We start from the raw sequence: 21,863 nt of genomic DNA on the forward strand, positions 1-21,863 counted from the left end.
ATGGACACACATGACTTTTCCTCTCCTCTTCTTTCAGCTCCCCGGCGAGGTAGCCCCCTCGCCCAAAGAAGGGCTGCGCTCACTTTGGGGCCCCTGTGCACCTCTGGCTTGCCTGGAGCCAGCTGGCTGCCACTCTCAAGCTCTGCCCACTTCACCTGCGCCGCTGTTCCCAGGATCCTGGGCTGGCTTCTTGATATTCTCACTTGGTGGGGTTTTTGTGAGTAATGTTCTCTGGGATCAGGGCTTCAGCTACCAGGTCACCAATGACTCAGACCCCACCTCAGGTCTACCTAAATGGCTCCCTCTCCTCTCCTCTAGTCTCCTCCTTTTTGCATGGCTACCGTTTCATTCAAGCCTTCCTGTTTTCTTCCCTGGACTACCGTGGTAGCCACCACGTTGATCACACTGTCTACAATTTTTTTTTTTTTTTGAGATGGAGCCTCATTTTGACGCCAGGCTGGAGTGCAGTGGCACGATCTTGGCTCACTGCAACCTCCTCCTCCCGGGTTCAAGTGATTCTCCTGCCTCAGCCTCCTGAGTAGCTGGGACTACAGGTGTGCACCACCACGCCCAGCTAATTTTTGTATTTTTAGTAGAGACGGGGTTTCACTATGTTGGGCAGGCTGGTCTCGAACTCCTGACCTTGTGATCTGCCCGCCTCGGCCTCCCAAAGTGCTGGGATTCCAGGTGTGAGTCACCGTGCCTGTTTTTTTTTTTTTTTTTTTTTTTTTTTGGACAGAGTTTCTCTCTTGTCGCCCAGGCTGGAGTGCAATGGCACACACTCGGCTCACAGCAACCTCCGCTTCCCGGGTTCAGGCAATTCTCCCGTCTCAGCCTCCCCAGTAGGGGATTACAGGCATGCGCCACCATGCCAAGCTAATTTTTGTATTTTTAGTAGAGACAGGGTTTCACCATGTTGGCCAGGCTAGTCTCGAACTCCTGACCTCAGGTGATTCACCCGCCTTGGCCTCCCAAAATGCTGGGATTACAGGCGTGAGCCACCTCGCCTGGCCTACAGTTGTTAATCCTTCCAATTCATCCTCTTGAAGCCACTAGAGTAATCTTTTTAACAGTGAAATGCCATGCCATTTCACTTTTTATATCCTTCAGACTGGGTTTAGTAGCTCACGCCTGTAATCTCAGCACCCTGGGAGGCTGAGGCAGGAGGATTGCTTGAGCCAAGGAGTTTGAGACCAACCTGGCAACAAAGTGAGATCCTGTCTCTAACAAAAAACAAAAAGCAAACAAAAAAAAACTTAGCCAGGCTTGGTGGCTCACACGTGTGGTCCCAGCTACTCTGGAGACTGAGCTGGGAGGATCCCTTGACCCCTGGAGGTCGAGGCTGCAGTGAGATGTGATTGTGCCACTGCACAAGAGCCTGGGGGACAGAGCAGGACCCTGTCTCAACACGAAACCAAAAACATCCTTGAATGTCTCCTTCCGCACCTTTAGAGCAGTTGTTTTTCTTTTTTGAGTTTGTTTCACTCTTGTCACCCAGGCTGGAGTGCAATGGCACGCTCTCGGTTCACTGCAACCTCTGCCTCTTCCTAGGTTCTGAAGTTTCTTAGCTAGAATCTTACATCTTTCATCTGGTCTGTCTTACTTTTTTAACCTCATCTCCTGCCATTTTCCACCAAGCACCTGTGCCCACCACCTGCTGGGAATTTTCTGAAAATGCCATGCTTCTCAGAAGCACAGGCTAGATAATTTGCAAGGCTCTTGTTTCAGCTCCCCGGTGAGTTAGTCCCCGTTCTCTGTGAGAAGTACTTTGCTCACTTTCGGGACTTGATGCACCTCTGGCTTCCCGGAGCCCGAAGCCAACTGCGCTGCCACTCTCAAGCTCTGCCCCTTTCACCTGTGCTGCTGTGTCCAGGGTCCTGGGCTTGCTTCTTTGATTCTTGTTAAGAAATCGTTGGCCGGGCGTGGTGGCTCACGCCTGTAATCCCAGCACTTTGGGAGGCCGAGGTGGGTGGATCACAAGGTCAGGAGATCAAGACCATCCTCGCCAACATGGTGAAACCCTACCTCTACTAAAAATACAAAAAATTAGCCGGGCGTGATGGTGGGCACCTGTAATCCCAGCTACTTGGGAGGCTGAGGCAGGAGAATCACTTGAACCCATGAGGTGGAGGTTGCAGTGAGCCGAGATTGCGCCACTGCACTCCAGCCTGGTGACAGAGCAAGACTCTGTCTCAAAAAAAAAAATAAAAAATAAAAAAATCAAGAAGTTTGAGGGTGACAGCAGCAGCAGCACTTTGAAGGGAGCACAGGCGCTCCGAGTGTCAGACTCTGTGACTGCATAGGTCATGTGCCCACGAAGCCACTTTACTTCTTTCTAAACTGTTTGCCATGCTGGAGATGACCTTTCCTATGTTGCCTGCCTGGCGAACTTTTAGTTATACTTCTAGACCAGTGTAGGTAGCTCTTCACCTTTTGAGGTGGTCACTAACCCTTTAAGAATATGTTGGGGCTGGGTGCAGTGGCTCATGAGTGTAGTCCCAACACTTTGGGCGGTTGAGGCAGCTGGATCGCTTGAGCCCAGGAGTTCAAGACCAGCCTGGGCAAAACCTTGTTTCTACAAAAAAATACACAAAAAAATTAGCTGGGCATGGTGGCACCCGCGTGTAGTCCCAGCTACTTGGGAGGCTGAAGTTGGAGGATCGCTTGAGCCCAGGAGGTTGAGAGCCAATATCGCACCACTGTACTCCAGCCTGGTGACAGAGTGAGACACTGTCTCAAAAAACAAACGAACAAAAAAAAGTATGTTGGAAAGTACAGGCCGTCCGTATGCATACAACTTAAGGTTTGGAGCACAACTGAAGAGACCTCATATGCTCTCTGATGCCCATCACCTGAACCTATAGAGGCTCTCTGACTTGAGATTCAGTTCAAATGTCACCCTCTCTATTAAGCTTTTCTGGCCCCTGCTGGGCAGGAGAAAGCACTCCTTCCCCTGTAGGGCCTCATCCACCCCTTTGTTGTTATAATAATCATAATAAATTATAGATAACGGTTACCATTTCCAGAGGGCCCACCATCTGTCAGACACATTTCAGAACTTACTGTAACTTGGCCTGTTAGGCATTTTATCCCCATCTTCACAGATGAGGACCTGAGGTTCAGAGTTTAAGGACCAGAGCTCAAGAAAAGGGGCGGGGCCCCCAAGGACTGCAGAGTGCCCCTCATGGCCGTGGCGCCCCGCCCTCTAGTCACCTGTCCTGCTAGAGTGACTGATCTCATAGCCTGTGCCCTGGGAAGGTGCAAAGATTGTGCCGTGTTCATTTCTGCACTCCCAGTGCCTTTCCAGAAGATGGTTGCTACTAAATGAATGATGTTGGATGAATAAATACTTGACTTTACCCACAGGCCTTTTTTTTGTTTTGTTTTGTTTTTTTTGGGACACGATTTTGTTCTGTTGCCAAGGCTGGAGTGCAGTGGTGCAATCTCAGCAACTTCCACCTCCTGGGTTCAAGCGATTGTCTTGCCTTAACCTCCCAAGTAGTTGGGATTACAGGTGTGTACCACCACGCCCAGATTTTTGTATTTGTATTTTAATTTTTAAAGATTTATTTTATTTTAAAAAATTATTATTTATTTATTTTAATTAATTAATTTATTTTTTGAGATGGAGTCTTGCTCTGTCGCCCAGGCTGGAGTGCAGTGGTTCGATCTTGGCTTATTCCAACCTCCGCCTCCAGGTGTGAGCCACCGTGCCCGGCTACCACAGCTCTTTTTATAGTCCTAGATCAGTCAGTGCTGGGCATCCACCAACGATGACTGGAGAAACCAGAATGTGACTTCCACAAAAGATGCCACATCCTTATATCTGGGCTCTGAGATTCTCTTAGACTTCAGCCACCACCAAGTGACTGCCCACAGATAGCTACGAGTCGAACTACATTAACCAAACTCCGAGGTTACCAGGCCGGAGTATTTCTTTCTCTTCCCTAGAGCATCTTCCTCTTGACCATGGGTTTGCCAGCTCTTCTGTTTTTTTCTCAGGCATTTCTGGTAAGATGGTGGTGGTTTTCTTTTTTTTTTTCTTTTTTGTAGAGAACGGGGTCTCGCTGTGCTGCTCAGACAGGTCTCAAACTCCTAGGCTCCAGCAATCCTCCCGTCTCTGCCTCCCTAAGTGTTGGGATTACAGGAGTGAGCCAATGCACCTGGCTTCTAATGAAGTTTTAAAAATAAGCAAACATGCTGGGCGCGGCGGCTCACGCCTGTAATCCCAGCACTTTTGGAGGCTGAGGCAGGCGGATCACGAGGTCAGGAGATCGAGACCATCCTGGCTAACACGGTGAAACCCCATCTCTGCTAAAAATATAAAAAATTAGCCGGGCGTGGTGGCGGGCGCCTGTAGTCCCAGCTACTCGGGAGGCTGAGACAGGAGAATTGCTTGAACCTGGGAGGCAGAGGTTGCAGTTAGCCAAGATCACGCCACTGCACGCCAGCCTGGGCAACAGAGTGAGACTCCATCTCAAAAAAAGAAAAGAAAAAAAAAAGCAAACACAAATTCTAATCACTTTGGGTGAATATTTGCCCTATAAAGATTACTGTGATCTGGGGTTTAGGTTCCTAAATGTCTTGATATTCAGGTTTAAATGACTTAATATTTGGATTCTTGCTGATTTTTTTTCTGTTTTTATCTGAATGCCTAGTTACAGGGGTGTCCAATCTTTTGGCTTCCCCAGGCCGCACTGGAAGAAGAAAACTGTCTTGGGCCACATATAAAATACACTAACACTAATGATAGCTTATGAGCTAAAAAAGAAAAAAAATCCCAGAAAAACTCATAGTGTTTTAAGAAAGTTGATGAATTTGTGTTGGGCCGCATTCAAAGCATGTCTGCAGCCTGAGGGCCGTGGGTTGGACAGCTTGGCCTAGTAAGTATATAAACTGTACTACGGATGGAATTAGAAATGATTGTGTTTTTCAGCTTTGGAATATTCATTGAGCTGCTGATTAGAATATCTGATCTCTAATTGGTGTAGCTGACTCTAGAGTATCTGATCTCTAATTGGTGTAGCTGACTCTGATGTATCCATCCATGGCACTAAGATTCAGGAAGAGAACGGACATAAAACACTCAAATGTTTGTGAAACCAGTGATTTCATTCTTCTCCTTCCCAGACTTGAAAACCCACCCCTCCTGTGGAGTTTTCCTAGCTGGCACGGCTGAGCAAGGTTTCCCCTGGGAGCTGCTGAGTTTTCCTAGCTGGCACGGCTGAGCAAGGTTTCCCCTGGGAGCTGCTGGGAGTCTCAGGCAGCAGCTGGGGTTCCAGGCCTGACTCCGCTTCAGAGACCCTCTGTTTCAGGTCCGCTGGTCTTCAGCCACTGCAGGGAGCTGCTCTGCCTGTTTCAGTGTGTTCCAGGACAGACTTGCAGAGGTGAAGAGGACTGAGCTATGGGCAGTAGAAGGGTCAGCGCTTAATGCACGATCCTGCTTTTTCTGTTTCAGAAGCTGCACCCACTGTAGTCAGCAACAGCCAGCTCAAGACCAAGACAGTCGATTTTTTGGTTTTTTGTTTGTTGGTTTTTGAGACAGATTCTCACTCTGTCACCCAGGCTGGAGTGTAGTGGTGCAATCTCGGCTCATTATAACCTCTGCCTCCTGGGTTCTAGTGATTCTCCTGCCTCAGCCTCACAGGTACCCACCACTACACCTGGCTAATTTTTGTATTTTTAGTAGAGTCGGGGTTTCAGCCTGGCGTGGTGGCTCATGCCTATAAACCCAGCACTTTGGGAGGCCGAGGTGGGTGGATCATGAGGTCGGGAGATCGAGACCATCCTGGCTGATACGGGGAAACCCCGTCTCTACTAAAAATACAAAAATATTAGCTGGGAGCGGTGGCGGGCGCTTGTAGTCCCAGCTACTCTGGAGGCTGAGGCAGGAGAATGGCGTGAACCCGGGAGGCAGAGCGTGCAGTGAGCCGAGATCGCACCACTGCACTCCAGCCTGGGCAACAGAGCGAGACTCTGTCTCAGGGTGGGGGGAAAAAGGTAGAGATGGGGTCTCACCATGTTGGCCAGGCTGGTCTCGAACTCCTGACCTCAGGTGATCTGCCTGCCTCAGCCTCCCAAAGTGCTGGGATTACAGGCGTGAGCCATGGCGCCCGGCCCCAGTTGATTCTTTTAAGCAGCTGCTAAGGAAAAAATTAGATTGTAGGTAAAAATAGATTGTAGGTGGGTGCCTTTTGGGAACTTTTTGTTATTGTTGTTAATGACATTAATAGACTTTTCTTAGGTTTTATGTAGTGTCACAAATGACACAATAGCGAGAATAAAAAGCTCCAGTTTCTTTGGGAGTTTACCACATTCCACATTCCACGTACTGTGCCAAGGCTTTCAACACGCATTTTCTTATTCTCGTAGTAACCCTATGAGATGGGTTTTAGATTTTCATATCTATATTTTATGAAGCAGGAAACCAAAGCACAAAGTTAAGTAATTTATTCAAAGTCATGTGATTAGCAAGGGGCACAGCTGGGACTGGAACTCACTCAATTTGGTCTCAAAGCCGGTCTTCCCCGCCATAATGACCTACTGTCTCTTAGTTGTAGAAAAACCACCTCCCTCCAGACTGACGCGCCCACCTCCCGCTTTCCTCCTCCCCATTACGTCCATTCTATAGACCAAGACCAGATTAAAATTTCCTGAAATACTACTTTAATCCTTCCACTGCCTACTCGAAACGTTCCTCTTACCTAGAGAAGCAGGATCATGTTCTCATTCCTTCTTCTGATAATCAGTTGTCCTCATCTTGCAGAATATCCCTTCCATAACTTCTCCAGCCTGCGGAGCATAAGAAATCTGGAGCTGGCCCAGCATGGTGGTGCACACCTGTAGTCCCTGCTAATCAGGAGGCTGAGGTGGAGGATGGCTTGAGCTCAGGAGTTTTAAGTTGCAGTGAGCTATGAACGCACCAGTCCGCTCCAGCCTAGGTGACAGAACGAGGACCCCAACTCAGAAAGCAAACAAACAAAGGAAATTCAGAGCTGCCTGGCATGGTGGCATGTGCCTGTAATCCTAGCTACTTGGGAGGGTGAAGTAGGAGAATCACTTGAACCTGAGAGGCGGAGGTTGCAGTGAGCTGGGATTGCACCACTGCACTCCAGCCTGGGTGACAGAGCGAGACTGTCTCAAAAAAAAAAAAAAAAAAAAAGAAAGAAAAAAGAAATCCAGAGCTAAAATTAGGAGGGGAAGGATGTAAACTTTGAACCTATATAAAACTGTAGGAATATTTTGTACTGTCATTAAAATAAGACACTAAAGAAAGCATTTTATTTTTATTTTTTATTTTTTTTGAGTTGGAGGCTTGCTCTATTGCCCAGGCTGGAGTGCAGTGGCTCAATCTCGGCTCACTGCAACCTCCACTTCCCGGGTTCAAGTGATTCTCCTGCCTCAGCCTCCCGAGTAGCTGGAGTAGCTGGGACTACAGGCACATGCCACAACGGCCGGCTAATTTTTGTGTTTTTAGTAGAGATGGGGTTTCACCATGTTAGCCAGGCTGGTCTCGAACTCCTGATCTCAGGTGATCTGCCCTCCTAGGACTCCAAAAGTACTGGAATTACAAGTGTGAGCCACCATGCCAGACCTAAAGGAAACATTTTAAATAAATAATATATCAGTGACATTTTCTACTTCTTAAAATTACTAATGGTGGCTAATGCACAATTAACTTCTCTTTACCATCTGTTGCTTGCTTGCTAAAAACTTTAGTATGTCTTTCCAAGGAAATTTTAATCAGGGGCTTAAAAAAAAAAAAAAGAAAAAGATTTATTTTTTCCAGGTGTGTATATTAAATTTTTTCTTGTATGATTCTCTATTCACTGTTTCAAGTTGTTTTGATAGTAAAATGTATTTGAAGAGCCTCACAATTTGAACACTTGTTTTAAATCCTGTTGAACGAAAGGTATGAGGAAGTACGTCAATGCATTTTTCATTTGCTATGTTATGGTTCAACCAGTTTTCTCTGATTGTTACTAAATTCTCTTTCCAATAATATATTGATTCTCCTCTGTGTTTACTAAACATTTTTTTTTCTAATTTTTTTTTTTGTTTTTGAGACAGAGTCTCGCTCTGTCACCCAAGCTGGAGTGCAGTAGCGCAATCTCGGCTCACTGCCGCCTCTACCTCCTGGTTCAAAGCGATTCTCCTGCCTCAGTCTCCCAAGTAGCTGGGATTACAGGCGTGCGCCCCCATGCTCAGCTAATTTTTGTATTTTTAGCAGAGATGGTGTTTCACCATGTTGGCCAGGATGGTCTTGATCTCTTGACCTCATGATCCACCCTCCTCGGCCTCCCAAAGTGCTGAGATGACAGGCATGAGCCACCACGCCCAGCCTTTTTTTGGTTTTTTAAAATTTTATTTATTTTTATTTGAGATGGAGTCTCACTCTGTCACCCAGACTGGAGTGCAGTGGCATGATCTCAGCTCACTGCAACCTCCACCTCCTGGTAAACATCATTTTTGTAAAGCTACAGAAAAATTATGGTGAGAACAAATGCTGTCATATCTGTTTTGTGTGTGTGTGGGAGAGGGGTAGCTTTTAATTTTTTTTTTTTTTTTTTGTCTGTGTTGAAGGTGAAGGGGAGAGATCATGACATGTTTTACCTGACAAGGGGGTACTGAGCCCTGTCTATCCACTCCATCCCTACCGCATACCCTGGCTGAGACAGGAACCTTCCCAAGCAGCACTCCCAAGGAGAGTAGCCATCACTTGGTCCTTGCTGGACATGAGCATTCCTGCATCAGGGAGAAGGCAAACCTCATCCCACATTTCCTTCTTATCCCAAAGTGCTACGATCTGGTCCTTGCTGGCCATTACGGCAAGTAATCACAGCCAGGTCATTTGCTTACTTAGACCTCAGTTTCCTTGTCTGTAAAATTAGCATGTTTGTTCATGTTATCTCAGAGGGCTTTTAGAGCTCTAAAAGCAGAAGCCACAGAAAGCCTGAGAGGAGCACAGGTGAAGGCTCTGGGTGTGGGTGGCTTTGCTTCTTCCATTAGGTCCTCTTCCCGCAGGTACTTTCCAGAGTGCCTGTAATTAACACAGTGGGAGAGCAGAACCGCCATAAACCCTGTTCAAGCAGGAAGGGAATGGAAGGTCGAGGCGCCCGGACTGCAGCCGCAGCTGTGCTTGGGGCTGATCGGCCTTGGCTTCGCCCCTCCTGGCAGCTGGGGACTGCTGTGGGTTTTGCATGGTTCACAGAATAAAGTGCAAATGGGGTCCTGTCATTTTTTATTACTCAGAGCCGCTTTCACTAAACCTGAAAGCTTATCTCTTGGTCGATGAAAAGTCTTTGTACTGTGGACCCCAGAGTCTGGACTTCCCCTCACTAAGCAGCTGTGTGACCTGGGGCAAATCAACCTCTGGGCCTCACTTAATGGTTATATGATTCACTGTCACCTGAGCCAAGTTGAAAAATAGTCTTAGACACGTAAGCACCACCCATAAGCACCACCCATTGTCCGCAGAATCGTCCTCGGACCACCCACCCACATCTGCCCTGGGGGGTTTAAATGCCCCTCCCAGACTCCAGCCTCTTACAGGCTGGGTCACGCTGCCCTGGGGAAGTCTATCTGGCTCCTTACAATAGGGAGAGCAAATCCCTGCTACACCTACCTGAAGCCCAGGACAAACCCCTTTCTGCAACTACCGAGAACCCATCAAAGTTTAATTTCAGTCACAATAACCTCAAACAGACTCTCAGCATCTCCCTGCACCACTCCTGCTCTGACAAAAAGAAAAAAAGAGGCCAGGCACGGTGCCTCATGCCTGTAATCCCAGCACTTTGGGAGGCTGAGGCAGGTGGATCGCCTGAAGTCAGGAGTTCAAGACCAGCCTAACCAACATGGCAAGACCCGCCTGGCCAACATGGCAAGACCCTGTCTCTACCAAAACACACAAAAATTACCCGGGAATGGTGGTGTGCACCTCTAGTCCCAGCTACTTGGGAGGCTGAGGCATGAGAATCACTTGAACCCGGGAGGCGGAGGTTGCAGTGAGCCGAGATCGCGCCACCGCACTCCAGCCTGGGCAACAGAGAGAGACCCTGTTTCAAAAAAAAAAAAAAAGAAAAGGAAAAAAAAGGAGAAGAATCGTACTTATGTTCAGCTGCAATTTACTCAGCAGAGTGATTAATCCATTAATTATTCCATTCAGTGAACTATTCGAAAGCATTTGCGAGTGTTTACCATATGCTCTCTTATTGTTGGAGGGTCGGACTATTCGAAAGCATTTGCGAGTGTTTACCATACGCCCTCGTATCGTTGGAGGGTCGGAGCAGCCGGGAGTTGGGAGGCCTGTGATGAAAGAGATCTGAACAGCTGCAGAGACACGTTTGCAAGTGGGCCTGGGGCCCACCTCAGGACTGGGGGCCGGTCGGGCACCCTGCCTCTCACCCCCAAACAACGCAATTCTTTTTTTGTTTTTTTGTTTTTTTGAGACAGTCTTGCTCTGTTGCCCAGCCTGGTGGAGTACAGTGGTGCAATCTCAGTTCACTGCAACCTCCGCCTCCCGGGTTCAAGTGATTCTCCTGCCTCAGCTTCCGGAGTAGCTGGGATTACAGGCACGTGCCACTACGCCCGACTAATTTTTGTATATTTAGTAGAGACGAGGTTTCACCACGTTGGTCAGACTGGTCTCGAACTTCTGACCTCAGGTGATCCGCGTCCTTGGCCTCCCAAAATGCTGGGATTACAGGCGTGAGCACCCGCAATTCTAGGGGGTTCTTAGGCTGTCCCCACCTCCACTGTGACCCTCCAGTTTGTCTTTCTTACAACCAACAGAGTGATCACTTGAAAGTGAGAATCTACCTAAAGCTCTTCCTTGCTTTCCGTACGTTTCTCCTGCCCTTAAGGAAAAAGGGCTTCTACACAGGCGTTGGAGACCCAGCACAGGGGTCTCAGCCAGCTCCCTAGCCGCATCACCCTGCTCCCTGCTTCCTGTGTGTTCTTCTGGCAACCAGACTGTGAGCCATGCCTGCCCGTGCACACTGTGCGGCTCTTCACCGCTATACTGAGGCCCTTCTCCCAACTGCCCCTCCCAAACCACCACCAACAGCAGAAAGCCTGGCTAAGACATCGTTATCCTCCAGGATTTTCCAGTTCTTCAGAAAGCTGCTCCTGCAATCACCCAGTGGTTCTTCCTGCCTGCTGCACAGACAAAACCAATGCCCTGAGACCGTGGCATTACCGCAGAGAGAGTTTAATTGGAGGCCTGGCACTATGCCTCACACCTGTAATCCCAGCAACTGGGGAGGCCAGGGTGGGAGGATTGCTTGAACCCAGATATTTCAGACCAGCCTGGGCAACATAGAGAGCCCCAGTCTCTTAAAAAAAAAAAAAAAAAGGAAAAAAAAATGTTTAGTAGAAGCTGGCCACAGTATGAGGGAGATGGAGCCATCACTCAAATCACTCTCCCCTGAAGTCTCGAACCTTAGGGTTTTTATGGGCAATTATTGGGCAGGGGACTAGGGAATGGATGCTGCTGATTGGTTGGGGATGAGATCACAGGGGTGTGGAAAATAGTCCCTGTGCTGAGTCTGCCTCTGGGTGGGGACATAGGACCACTTGTCATGACTCCCAAGTCCAGGTGGGGTGGGGTCAGTCTGAAAAATATCTCAAAAAACTAACCTTAGGCTTTACAGTAGTGATGTTATCTGGCTGCATGATCCCTGAGCAGTAAGGGATTATGGAAACACCTGTTGGGCAGGGTGGGTGGCTTGTGCCTGTAATCCCAGCACTTTGGGAGGTCAAGGCAGGAAAATCACTTCAGGCCAGCAGTTCAAGATCAGCTTAGAGACAAGATATCATCTCTACAAAAAAACTAAAAAATTTGCTAGGCATGGTAGTGCATACCCATAGTCCTAGCTACTAGGAGGCTGAGGTGGGAGGATCACTTGAGCCCAGGGAGGTCAAGGCTGCAGTGAACTATGATTGTGTCATTGCACTCCAGCCTGGGTGACAGAGCAAGACCCTGTCTCAAAAAAAAGATTCAATACAAATTTTTTTTAAAAGGAAACTACATCTATCTTATGGCCTTTCACTCATCTTACAAAGCCGGTGTCAGCAGCCCAGAACAGGGAAGGGCTTAGTTTTAAGAAGGGATTATTATCACTCTTGCTTCAAGGTTAAGCTATAAACTAAATTTCTCCCAAAGTTAGCCTGGCCCAGGCCCAGAAATGACCAAGGACGCTTGGAAGTCAGAAGCAAGATGGCGTTAACTATGTCAGATTTCTCTTACTCTCATAATTTTGCAAAGGCGGTTTTGCTCTAACCTTATTAACCTACTTTCTTTTTCTTTTTTTTTTGAGATGGAGTTTTGGTGTTGTCACCCAGGCTGGAGTACAATGGCGCATTCTTGGCTCACTGCAACCTCCTGCCTCCTGGGTTCAAGCGATTCTCCTGCCTCAGCCTCCCAAGTAGCTGGGATTAAAGGTGCCTACCACCACGCCCAGCTAATTTTTTGTATTTTTAGTAGAGATGGGTTTTCACCATGTTGGTCAGGCTGGTCTTGAACTCCTGACCTCAGGTGATCCACCCGCCTCCGCCTCCCAGAATGCTGGGATTACAGGCATGAGCTACTGCGCCTGGCCTATTAACCCACTTTCTACACATCTCTACTCCCTCACCCTACTGCATGACAATTATCTGCTTATTTTAGTGTCTCTTCCACTCCTTGCAGCCTAGAAGGCTGTCCTTATTTGAAACTCCAGTGCCAGGCATGGATAGGTTTGAATTAAAGTAAGCCCTCAATATCTATTGGTTGACTGAATTAATTTGGGATGTGTAATTACACGTCGTGCCTATAATGATTTTTGGTTTGGAGAGGCCAAGGCAACAGTCTGTACTTCTGAATCCAGAAGATAAGAGAAACTAAGATTTTGAGAACATCAGGTGGGTCAGAAAGCCAAGCCAGCCCAGTGCCTGCTTTGCATTTCACCTGGATCTATGTGTCAGGGTGAGAAGATGTTTGTTTGCTTTTAACTGCTTGCAAATCTCTTAAAAAATGTGTATTATTATTGTATACCCAGGCCAGGTTCTTCTCCTTAATTTCTCTGGAATCAGAGTTAGAAAAACTGAAGGACTGTTCCTGGGTGTCTTGTTCTTCATTCAGGAGCAGAGCTGGCAATGTTCTTCCACTGATGCCCGCTCCATGGATTGTTAGGATTAGGTCAAAGATGTATTTGCAATATTTGGCATCACATCTGGCCCATAGCGCGTGCTCAGTAAATGCTGCTCTTCTGATTGTTGTGATTGATGAGGTGTGCTAGCAGTTTTGTTTTGGCTCCTCTCCAGGACGCTGGTCATCCTCGGGATATGAAGCCTGTTCGCCGGGGCGGCCGTTTGCTGGGTTCCCAAAAACTCTCTGTTCTTGGGTGGAGCTCGTAGAGAGAGCTCTACTGTCCCAACAGCTTCATGATGCCACCATCCCTGCTGGGAAGAAGGCTCTTGAGCTTAAGGGACTTGCTAGCTGCTAATGAAGACCATCCAGCCCCGTTCTTTCCAGTGATCTCATTTCACCATCTCAGGCAACAATGCCCAATGCCTTCTGTCTTCATTTTCACTCCTTTTTTTTTTTTTTTTTTTTTTTTGAGACAGAGTCTCGCTCTGCTGTCCAGGCTGGAGTGCAATGGCACAATCTCGGCTCCTGCAACCTCTGCCTCCTGGGTTCAAGCGATTTTCCTGCCTCAGCCTTCTGAGTAGCTGGGATTACAGGCACCCACCATCATGCCCAGCTAATTTTTTGTATTTTTAATAGAGACAGGGTTTCACTGTGTTGGCCAGGCTGCTCTCGAACTCCTGACCGAGACAGGGTCTCACTCTGTCATCCAGACTGGAGTGCACTGGCACAATCACAGCTGAGTACATGCTTGACCTCCTGAGGCTCCTACCTCAGCCTCCTGAGTAGCTGGGACTGCAGGCACGCACCACCATACCCAGCTAATTTTTCGTATTCTTTGTTGAGATGGGTGTTTTGCCATGTTGGCCAGGCTGGTCTGGAACTCCTGACCTCGAATGATTCGCCCACCTCGGCCTCCCAAAGCGCTGAGATTACAGCTGTGAGCCGCTTTGCCCAGCCATTCACTCTATTTTGGATATTCAAATCTATCCTCACTGATGTCTTTAAAATCTCAGTGTAGCCACTTGGGTATCTGTTTTGTGTGCTTTTTCCTGTTCACGAATGTCCCAGACAAATGCCAGGGTGATTAGGCTGCTCTCTGCCTCTCCACGTTCTACATGGATGTGCATGGGGGTCAGGGTGGAGGAAGAGCCACAATTCAGGGGATAGACTGTGTGGATATCACTTCATTTCCCCCTTTTTCACTAGGGGGAACATGTACATGGGTTATATGTACTACATGTTAAAATGTACATAAAAGGAGGCAAAATTGTAAAAGAACAATTCAGCTTGACAGGCATATGTGGAAAGAAAGTAGGAGCGGTGCTGCCCTTTTATTTTGGGGACAGTGCAAATATTATGGACTGATTTTTTTTTATTTTTTGAGACGGAGTTTCGCTTTTGTTGCCCAGGCTGGAGTGCAATGGCACGATCTTGGCTCACCACAACCTCCGCCTCCCGGGTTCAAGCGATTCTCCTGCTTCAGCCTCCCTAGTAGCTGGGATTACAGGTATGTGCCACCACAACCAGCTAATTTTGTATTTTTTTTTAGTAGAGATGGGGTTTCTCCATGTTAGGCAGGCTGGTCTCGAACTCCTGACCTCAGGTGATCCACTGCCTCGGCCTCCCAAAGTACTGGGATGACAAGCATGCGCCACCGTGTCTGGCCATGGACTGATTTTCTGTAGAAGAGGTTATTTTTATGTATTTATTTTCGAGACAGAGTCTCGCTCTGTCGCCCAGGCTGGAGTGCAGTGGCGCGATCTCCGCTCACTGCAAGTTCCACCTCCTGGGTTCACACCATTCTCCTGCCTCAGCCTCCTGAGCAGCTGGGACCAGAGGTGCCCGCCACCATGCCCGGCTAATTTTTTGTATTTTTAGTAGAGACGGGGTTTCACCATGTTAGCCAGGATGGTCTCGATCTCCTGATCTCGTGATCCGCCCGCCTCAGCCTCCCAGAATGCTGGGATTACAGGCGTGAGCCACTGCTCCCGGCCAGTTATTTTTTTTTTAAACCCAGCTGAGCCCATTCTTTACCCTTGTGAACTGGTATCATTAGCCATTTCCCAGCGTGGGGAGTCCAGGAAGCCTCCCAAGCTTGGGACCTGGGCCTCATCCTGCTGCTCCACCCACAAGCCTCCCCAACAATCTGCATTCGGACAGTGGTGGTAGCATCCTCAGGGGACTCCCTGAAATTGACTTACAGTCTTGGCGGAAAACAGCCTTCTTCGATCAAGGAAGATTGTTCTCTGTAGATGAGTGCTCAGGAGAGTTTCTGTGCCCCATCAGCAAGGTCAGCTAAATACATCCATCCAGTGAAAGACAGGTGGCAGCTGAGCTTGTGCTCAGGCCTTCCATGGAAGCAGAAGTGCCCTGTCCTAGAGAATCATGCCAAAAATACTGCATGCTTGCGGGCAGGGGCTGGGGGAGCAGTGTGAATCTAGCCTCAAAGGTGAGAAATAGTCATGGCATTGGTATAGGGCTGTCAACTCACATTCAGGTTAAAATTCCAAAGCAAGTCCCCCAAAAAGTGCCTAGGTTGAAATGGCAACTGGAATTGCTTAGAATCCTACCATTCCAGTAGGTTTTATATAAAAATAGCTTTACTGAGATACAGTTGATAGACAATAAATTACATGTACTTAAAGGGTACAATTGGATACATTTTGACATATGCATATACTCATGAAACTGTCAACACCACCAAGATAATGAACACTCCCAGAAGTTCATCACTCCCAGAAGTTTCCCTGTGGCCTTTTGTAATCTGTCCCTCCTGCCTTTTCCCACCTCCATCCCACCACCACGCTCTCAGCCGTGTCCCCAAGGGGTATATATATATATATATATATATAAAGCTGGGATTACAGGCGCCCACCACCATGCCTGGCTAATTTTTGTATTTTTAGTAGAGACGCGGTTTCACCATGCTGGCCAGACTGGTCTCGAACTCCTGACCTTATCATCTGCCTGCCTCGGCCTCCCAAAGTGCTGGGATTACAGGCGTGAGCCACTGCACCCAGCCCCCCACATGCTCTTATAGGTCCGTTGGTATTTGCTAGAAGTTTGTATAAATATAACCATACAGTATGGATTCTCTTACTTTTTTTTCCCCACATAACAGTTATTTTGAAATTCATCCATACTGTTGCCTGAATTTCATGGTAGGAATGTACTAGTTTACCCGTCACCTGGTGAAGGCCATTTGGGTTATTTCCAAATTGTGGCACTTTTGAGGAGAGTGGCTGTGAACATTTGTATACAAGTCTTCGTATGTCCATGTTTTAATTTCTCTTGAGTTGATGGTACATCTACTCAGTGTATGTTTAACTTAGAAAAACCCACCCAGCCAGGCGCGGTGGCTCACGCCTGTAATCCCAGCACTTTGGGAGGCCGAGGCGGATGGATCACGGGTCAGGAGATCGAGACCATCCTGGCCAACATGGGGGAATGAAACCCCGTCTCTACTAAAAATACAAAAAATTAGCTGGGTGTGGTGGCAGGCCTTCACCCAGCTTCTTGGGAGGCTGAGGCAGAAGAATTGCTTGAACCCGGGAGGCAGAGGTTGCAGTGAGCCTGGGCAACAGAGTGAGACTCCATCTCAAAAAACAAAAAAAAAAAAACAAAAAAACCCCACCTACCTGACTTCCAAAGTGGTTGTTATATTTTACATTGCCAACAGCAGTGTATGAGAATTCCAGTTCTCTAATAGCCTCATTAATGCTTCATACAATCAGTCTTTAAGCCATTCTATAAATGTACGGTGGTATCTCATTGTGGGTTTAATTTGTGTTTCCCTAACGGCCAACGACTTGAACATCTTTTCATGTGCTATTTGCCATTCATCTATGTTCTTTGGTGAAGTGTCTGTCCAAATCTTGTAGCTTTTTAAAAATTAGGTAGTTTACTTTCATTTTAATTTAATTTAATTTAATTACTTTATTTATTTATTATTGAGACAGAGTCTTGCTCTGTCACCCAGGCTGGAGTGCAGTAGAATGATCTCAGCTCACTGCAACCCCTGCCCCCTGGAGTTAAGCAATCCTCCCACCTCAGCCTCCTGAGTACTTGGGACCACAGGCATGCGCCGCCACACCTGGCTAATTTTTTGTATTTTTTGTAGAGACTGGGTTTCACCATGTTGCCCAGGGTGGCCCTGAGCTCAAATGATCCACCTGCCTCGGCCTCCCACAATGCTGGGATTACAAGTGTGAGCCACCATGCTTGGCCCTCATTCTCTAATATCCCTTTTGAAGGGCAAAAATTGTTAACTTTTTTGAAGTACAACTTATAATTTTTTTTCATTTATGGATTGTAGCTTTGGTTTTCTAAGAAATCTTTGCCTTAAGATCAATATATTTTCTTTTAGAAGTTTTATAGTTTTAGGTTTTACATTTAGAGTTAATTTTTGTGTATGATGTGAGGCAGGGATTTAAATTATTAAAATAATTTTTTTTTTTTTGTAGTTAGAGTTTGGCCATATTGCCCTGGCTGGTCTCAAACTCCTGAGCTCAGACAATCTGCCTACCTTGGCCTCCCAAAGTATTGAGATTACAAGCATGAGCCACTGTGCCAAGCCTTAAATAATTTTTTGCACGTGGATATCTAAGTATTCCAGCACCATCTGTTGAAAAGATGATCCTTTCCCTTAGCTGCCTTTGCATATCTCTTGAAAATCAATTGATGTCCATATATATATATGGGTCTATTGCTGCACTTTTATTCTGTTCTATTGATCTGTTTGTGTGTTTTTAAACCACTATCACATTGCTTTGATTACTGAAGCTTTGTAGTAAGTCTTGTCCTTTGCATTTCCATATGAATTTTAAAATCGGCTTGTCAATTTCTACAAAAAAAAGACTGCTGAAAATTTAAGTGGGATTGTGTGGGATCTAGAAATATTGAGTCTTTTTTTTTTTTTTTTTTTTTTGGGACAGAGTCTTGCTCTGTCACCCAGGCTGGAGTGCAATGGCACAATCTGGGCTCACTGCAACCTCCGCCTCTTGGGTTCAAGCCATTCTTCTGCCTCAGCCTCCTGAGTAGCTGGGATTATAGGCACATGCCACCATGCCCGGCTGATTTTTATATTTTTAATAGAGATGGGGTTTCACTATATTGGCCAGGCTGGTCTTGAACTCCTGACCTTGGGTGATCCACCCACGTCACCCTCCCAAAGTGCTAGGATTACAGGCATGAGCCACTGTGCCTGGCCATTGAGTCTTCTAATTGATGAATAAATATATTTCTTGTCTGGGCATGGTGGCTCATACCTGTAATCCCAGCACTTTGGGAGGCTGAGGCAGGAGGATCACTGGAGGCCAGGAGTTCGAGACCAGCCTAGGCAACACTGTCTCTACAAAAATAAAGGAAAAAATAAAAATAAAAAACTGAATAAAAAATATATATATTTCTCCATTTATTTAGGCCTTTGATTTCTTGCAGCAATGTTCTATTAGTTTTCAGTGTATATCCTTTGTTCATCCTTTGTCAGATTTATGCCTAAGTGTTTCACATGTTTTATTTTTTATTTATTTATTTTTTTTTTTAATTTATTTTTTTTTTTTTTATTGATCATTCTTGGGTGTTTCTCGCAGAGGGGGATTTGGCAGGGTCATAGGACAATAGTGGAGGGAAGGTCAGCAGATAAACAAGTGAACAAAGGTCTCTGGTTTTCCTAGGCAGAGGACCCTGCGGCCTTGGCCTTCCGCAGTGTTTGTGTCCCTGGGTACTTAAGATTAGGGAGTGGTGATGACTCTTAACGAGCATGCTGCCTTCAAGCATCTGTTTAACAAAGCACATCTTGCACCGCCCTTAATCCATTTAACCCTGAGTGTTCACAGCACATGTTTCAGAGAGCACAGGGTTGGGGATAAGGTCACAGATCAACAGGATCCCAAGGCAGAAGAATTTTTCTTAGTACAGAACAAAATGAAAAGTCTCCCATGTCTACTTCTATCCACAGAGACCCGGCAACCATCCGATTTCTCAATTTTTTCCCCACCCTTCCCGCCTTTCTATTCCACAAAACCGCCATTGTCATCATGGCCCATCCCCAATGAGCCGCTGGGCACACCTCCCAGACGGGGTCGTGGCCGGGCAGAGGGGCTCCTCACTTCCCAGTAGGGGCGGCCGGGCAGAAGCGCCCCTCACCTCCCGGATGGGGCGGCTGGCCGGGCGGGGAGCTGACCCCCCCACCACCCTCCCGGACGGGGCGGCTGGCCAGGCAGAGGGGCTCCTCACTTCCCAGTAGGGACGGCCGGGCAGAGGCGCCCCTCACCTCCTGGATAGGGCGGCTGGCTGGGCGGGGGGCTGTCCCCCCCACCTCCCTCCCGGACGGGGCGGCTGGCCGGGCAGAGGGGTCCTCACTTCCCAGTAGGGGCGGCCGGGCAGAGGCGCCCCTCACCTCCCGGACGGGGCGGCCGGCCGGAAGGGGGGCTGACCCCCCCCACCTCCTCCCGGAAGGGGCGGCTGGGCCGAACCCCCCCCCCCCCCGCCTCCCTCCCGGACGGGGTGGCTGGCCGGGCAGAGGGGCTCCTCACTTTCCAGTAGGGGCGGCCGGGCAGAGGCGCCCCTCACCTCCCGGACGGGGCGGCTGGCCGGGCGGGGGGCTGATCCCCCCACCTCCCTCCCGGACGGGGCGGCTGGCCAGGCGGGGGGCTGACCCCCCCCACCTCCCTCCCGGACGGGGCGGCTGGCCGGGCGGGGGGCTGACCCCCCCACCTCCCTCCCAGATGGGGCGGCTGGCCAGGTGGGGGGATGACCCCCCCACCTCCCTCCCGGGCGGGGCGGCTGGCCGGGCAGAGGGGCTCCTCACTTCCCAGTAGGGGCGGCCGGGCAGAGGCGCCCCTCACCTCCCGGATGGGGCGGCTGGCCAGGCGGGGGGCTGATCCCCCCACCTCCCTCCCAGACGGGGCGGCTGGCCGGGCGGGGGGCTGACCCCCCACCTCCCTCCCGGACTGGGCGGCTGGCCGGGCGGGGGGCTGACCCCCCCACCTCCCTCCTGGACGGGGCGTCTGGCCGGGCAGAGGGGCTCCTCACTTCCCAGTAGGGGCGGCCGGGCAGAGGAGCCCCTCACCTCCCGGACGGGGCGGCTGGCCGGGCGGGGGGCTGACCCCCCCACCTCCCTCCCGGACGGGGCGGCTGGCCGACCCCCCCGCCGCCTCCCTCCCGGATGGGGCGCCTGGCCAGGCAGAGGGGCTCCTCACTTCCCAGTAGGGGCGGCCGGGCAGAGGAGCCCCTCACCTCCCGGACGGGGCGGCTGGCCGGGCGGGGGGCTGACCCCCCCCACCTCCCTCCCGGACGGGGTGGCTGCTGGGCGGAGACGCTCCTCACTTCCCAGACGGGGTGGTTGCCGGACGGAGGGGCTCCTCACTTCTCAGACGGGGCGGTTGCCAGGCAGAGGGTTTCCTCACTTCTCAGACGGAGCGGCCGGGCAGAGACGCTCCCCACCTCCCAGACAGGGCTGCGGCCCAGCAGAGGCGCTCCTCACATCCCAGACAGGGCGGCGGGGCAGAGGTGCTCCCCACATCTCAAACGATGGGCGGCCGGGCAGAGACGCTCCTCACTTCCTAGATGGGATGGCGGCGGGGAAGAGGCGCTCCTCGCTTCCCAGATGGGATGGCGGCCGGGCAGAGACGCTCCTCACTTTCCAGACTGGGCAGCCAGGCAGAGGGGCTCCTCACATCCCAGACGATGGGTGGCCAAGCAGAGACGCTCCTCACTTCCCAGACGGGGTGGCGGCCGGGCAGAGGCTGCAATCTCGGCTCTCCGGGAGGCCAAGGCAGGTGGCTGGGAGGTGGTTGCAGCGAGCCAAGATCACGCCACTGCACTCCAGCCTGGGCACCATTGAGCACTGAGTGAACGAGACTCCATCCGCAATCCCGGCACCTCGGGAGGCCGAGGCCGGCGGATCACTCGCGGCTAGGAGCTGGAGACCAGCCCGGCCAACACAGCGAAACCCCGTCTCCACCAAAAAAAAACGAAAACCAGTCAGGCGTGGCGGCGCGCGCCCGCAATCGCAGGCACTCGGCAGGCTGAGGCAGGAGAATCAGGCAGGGAGGCTGCAGTGAGCCGAGATGGCAGCAGTACCGTCCAGCCTCGGCTCGGCATCAGAGGGAGACCCCACATGTTTTAATTCTATTATGTTATTTTTAAAATTTCAAATTCCAATTGTTCATTGTTTGAATGTAGAAATAGTTGTTTTTGTATACTGATATTGAATCCTCCACTCTTGCTAATTAGCCTTTTTGTAGATTCATCAGATTTTCCACACAGCTGATTATGTTATCTGTGAGTAGAGATAGTTTTACTTTTTCCCTTGTTTTATGACTTCCTTACTTTTATTTATTGATTTATTTTTTAGGCCTTATTGCTCCATTGGAGCATCCAGGGCACTGTTGAATAGAAGTGGTGAGAGTGGGCATCCTTGCCTTGTTCCTGACCTCAGTGGGAAAGCATTCACTCTCTTACTGTGAAGTATGATGACAGTTGTATGTTTTTCATAGATGCCCTTTTCAGGTTGAGGAAGCACCCTTCTATTCTTAGTTTACTGAGAGTTTGTTAGGAATGGATACTGGATTTTGTCAAATGCTTTTTCTATGTCTATTGAGATAATGTTTTTCTTGAGTCTATGAATAGAATTAACTACGTTGATTGATTTGCAAATGTTAAACCAACTTTGCATTTATGGGATAAACCTCACTTGGTCATGATGTCTTATCTTTTTTACATATTGGTG

The 21,863-nt window shown here is 49.1% G+C and overlaps 1 annotated feature.

Moving 5' to 3' along the window:
• Positions 16,097 to 16,597: an enhancer, noted in NCBI's record as "H3K27ac hESC enhancer chr7:152279154-152279654 (GRCh37/hg19 assembly coordinates)". NCBI's record gives its function as "activates a minimal SCP1, AML or CMV promoter by ChIP-STARR-seq in primed H9 embryonic stem cells {active_cell/tissue: H9 hESC(primed)}" and the evidence as "EXISTENCE:reporter gene assay evidence [ECO:0000049][PMID:30033119]".

Source organism: Homo sapiens, chromosome 7 (assembly GCF_000001405.40).
Source record: "Homo sapiens chromosome 7, GRCh38.p14 Primary Assembly".
NCBI classification, from domain to species: domain Eukaryota; kingdom Metazoa; phylum Chordata; class Mammalia; order Primates; family Hominidae; genus Homo; species Homo sapiens.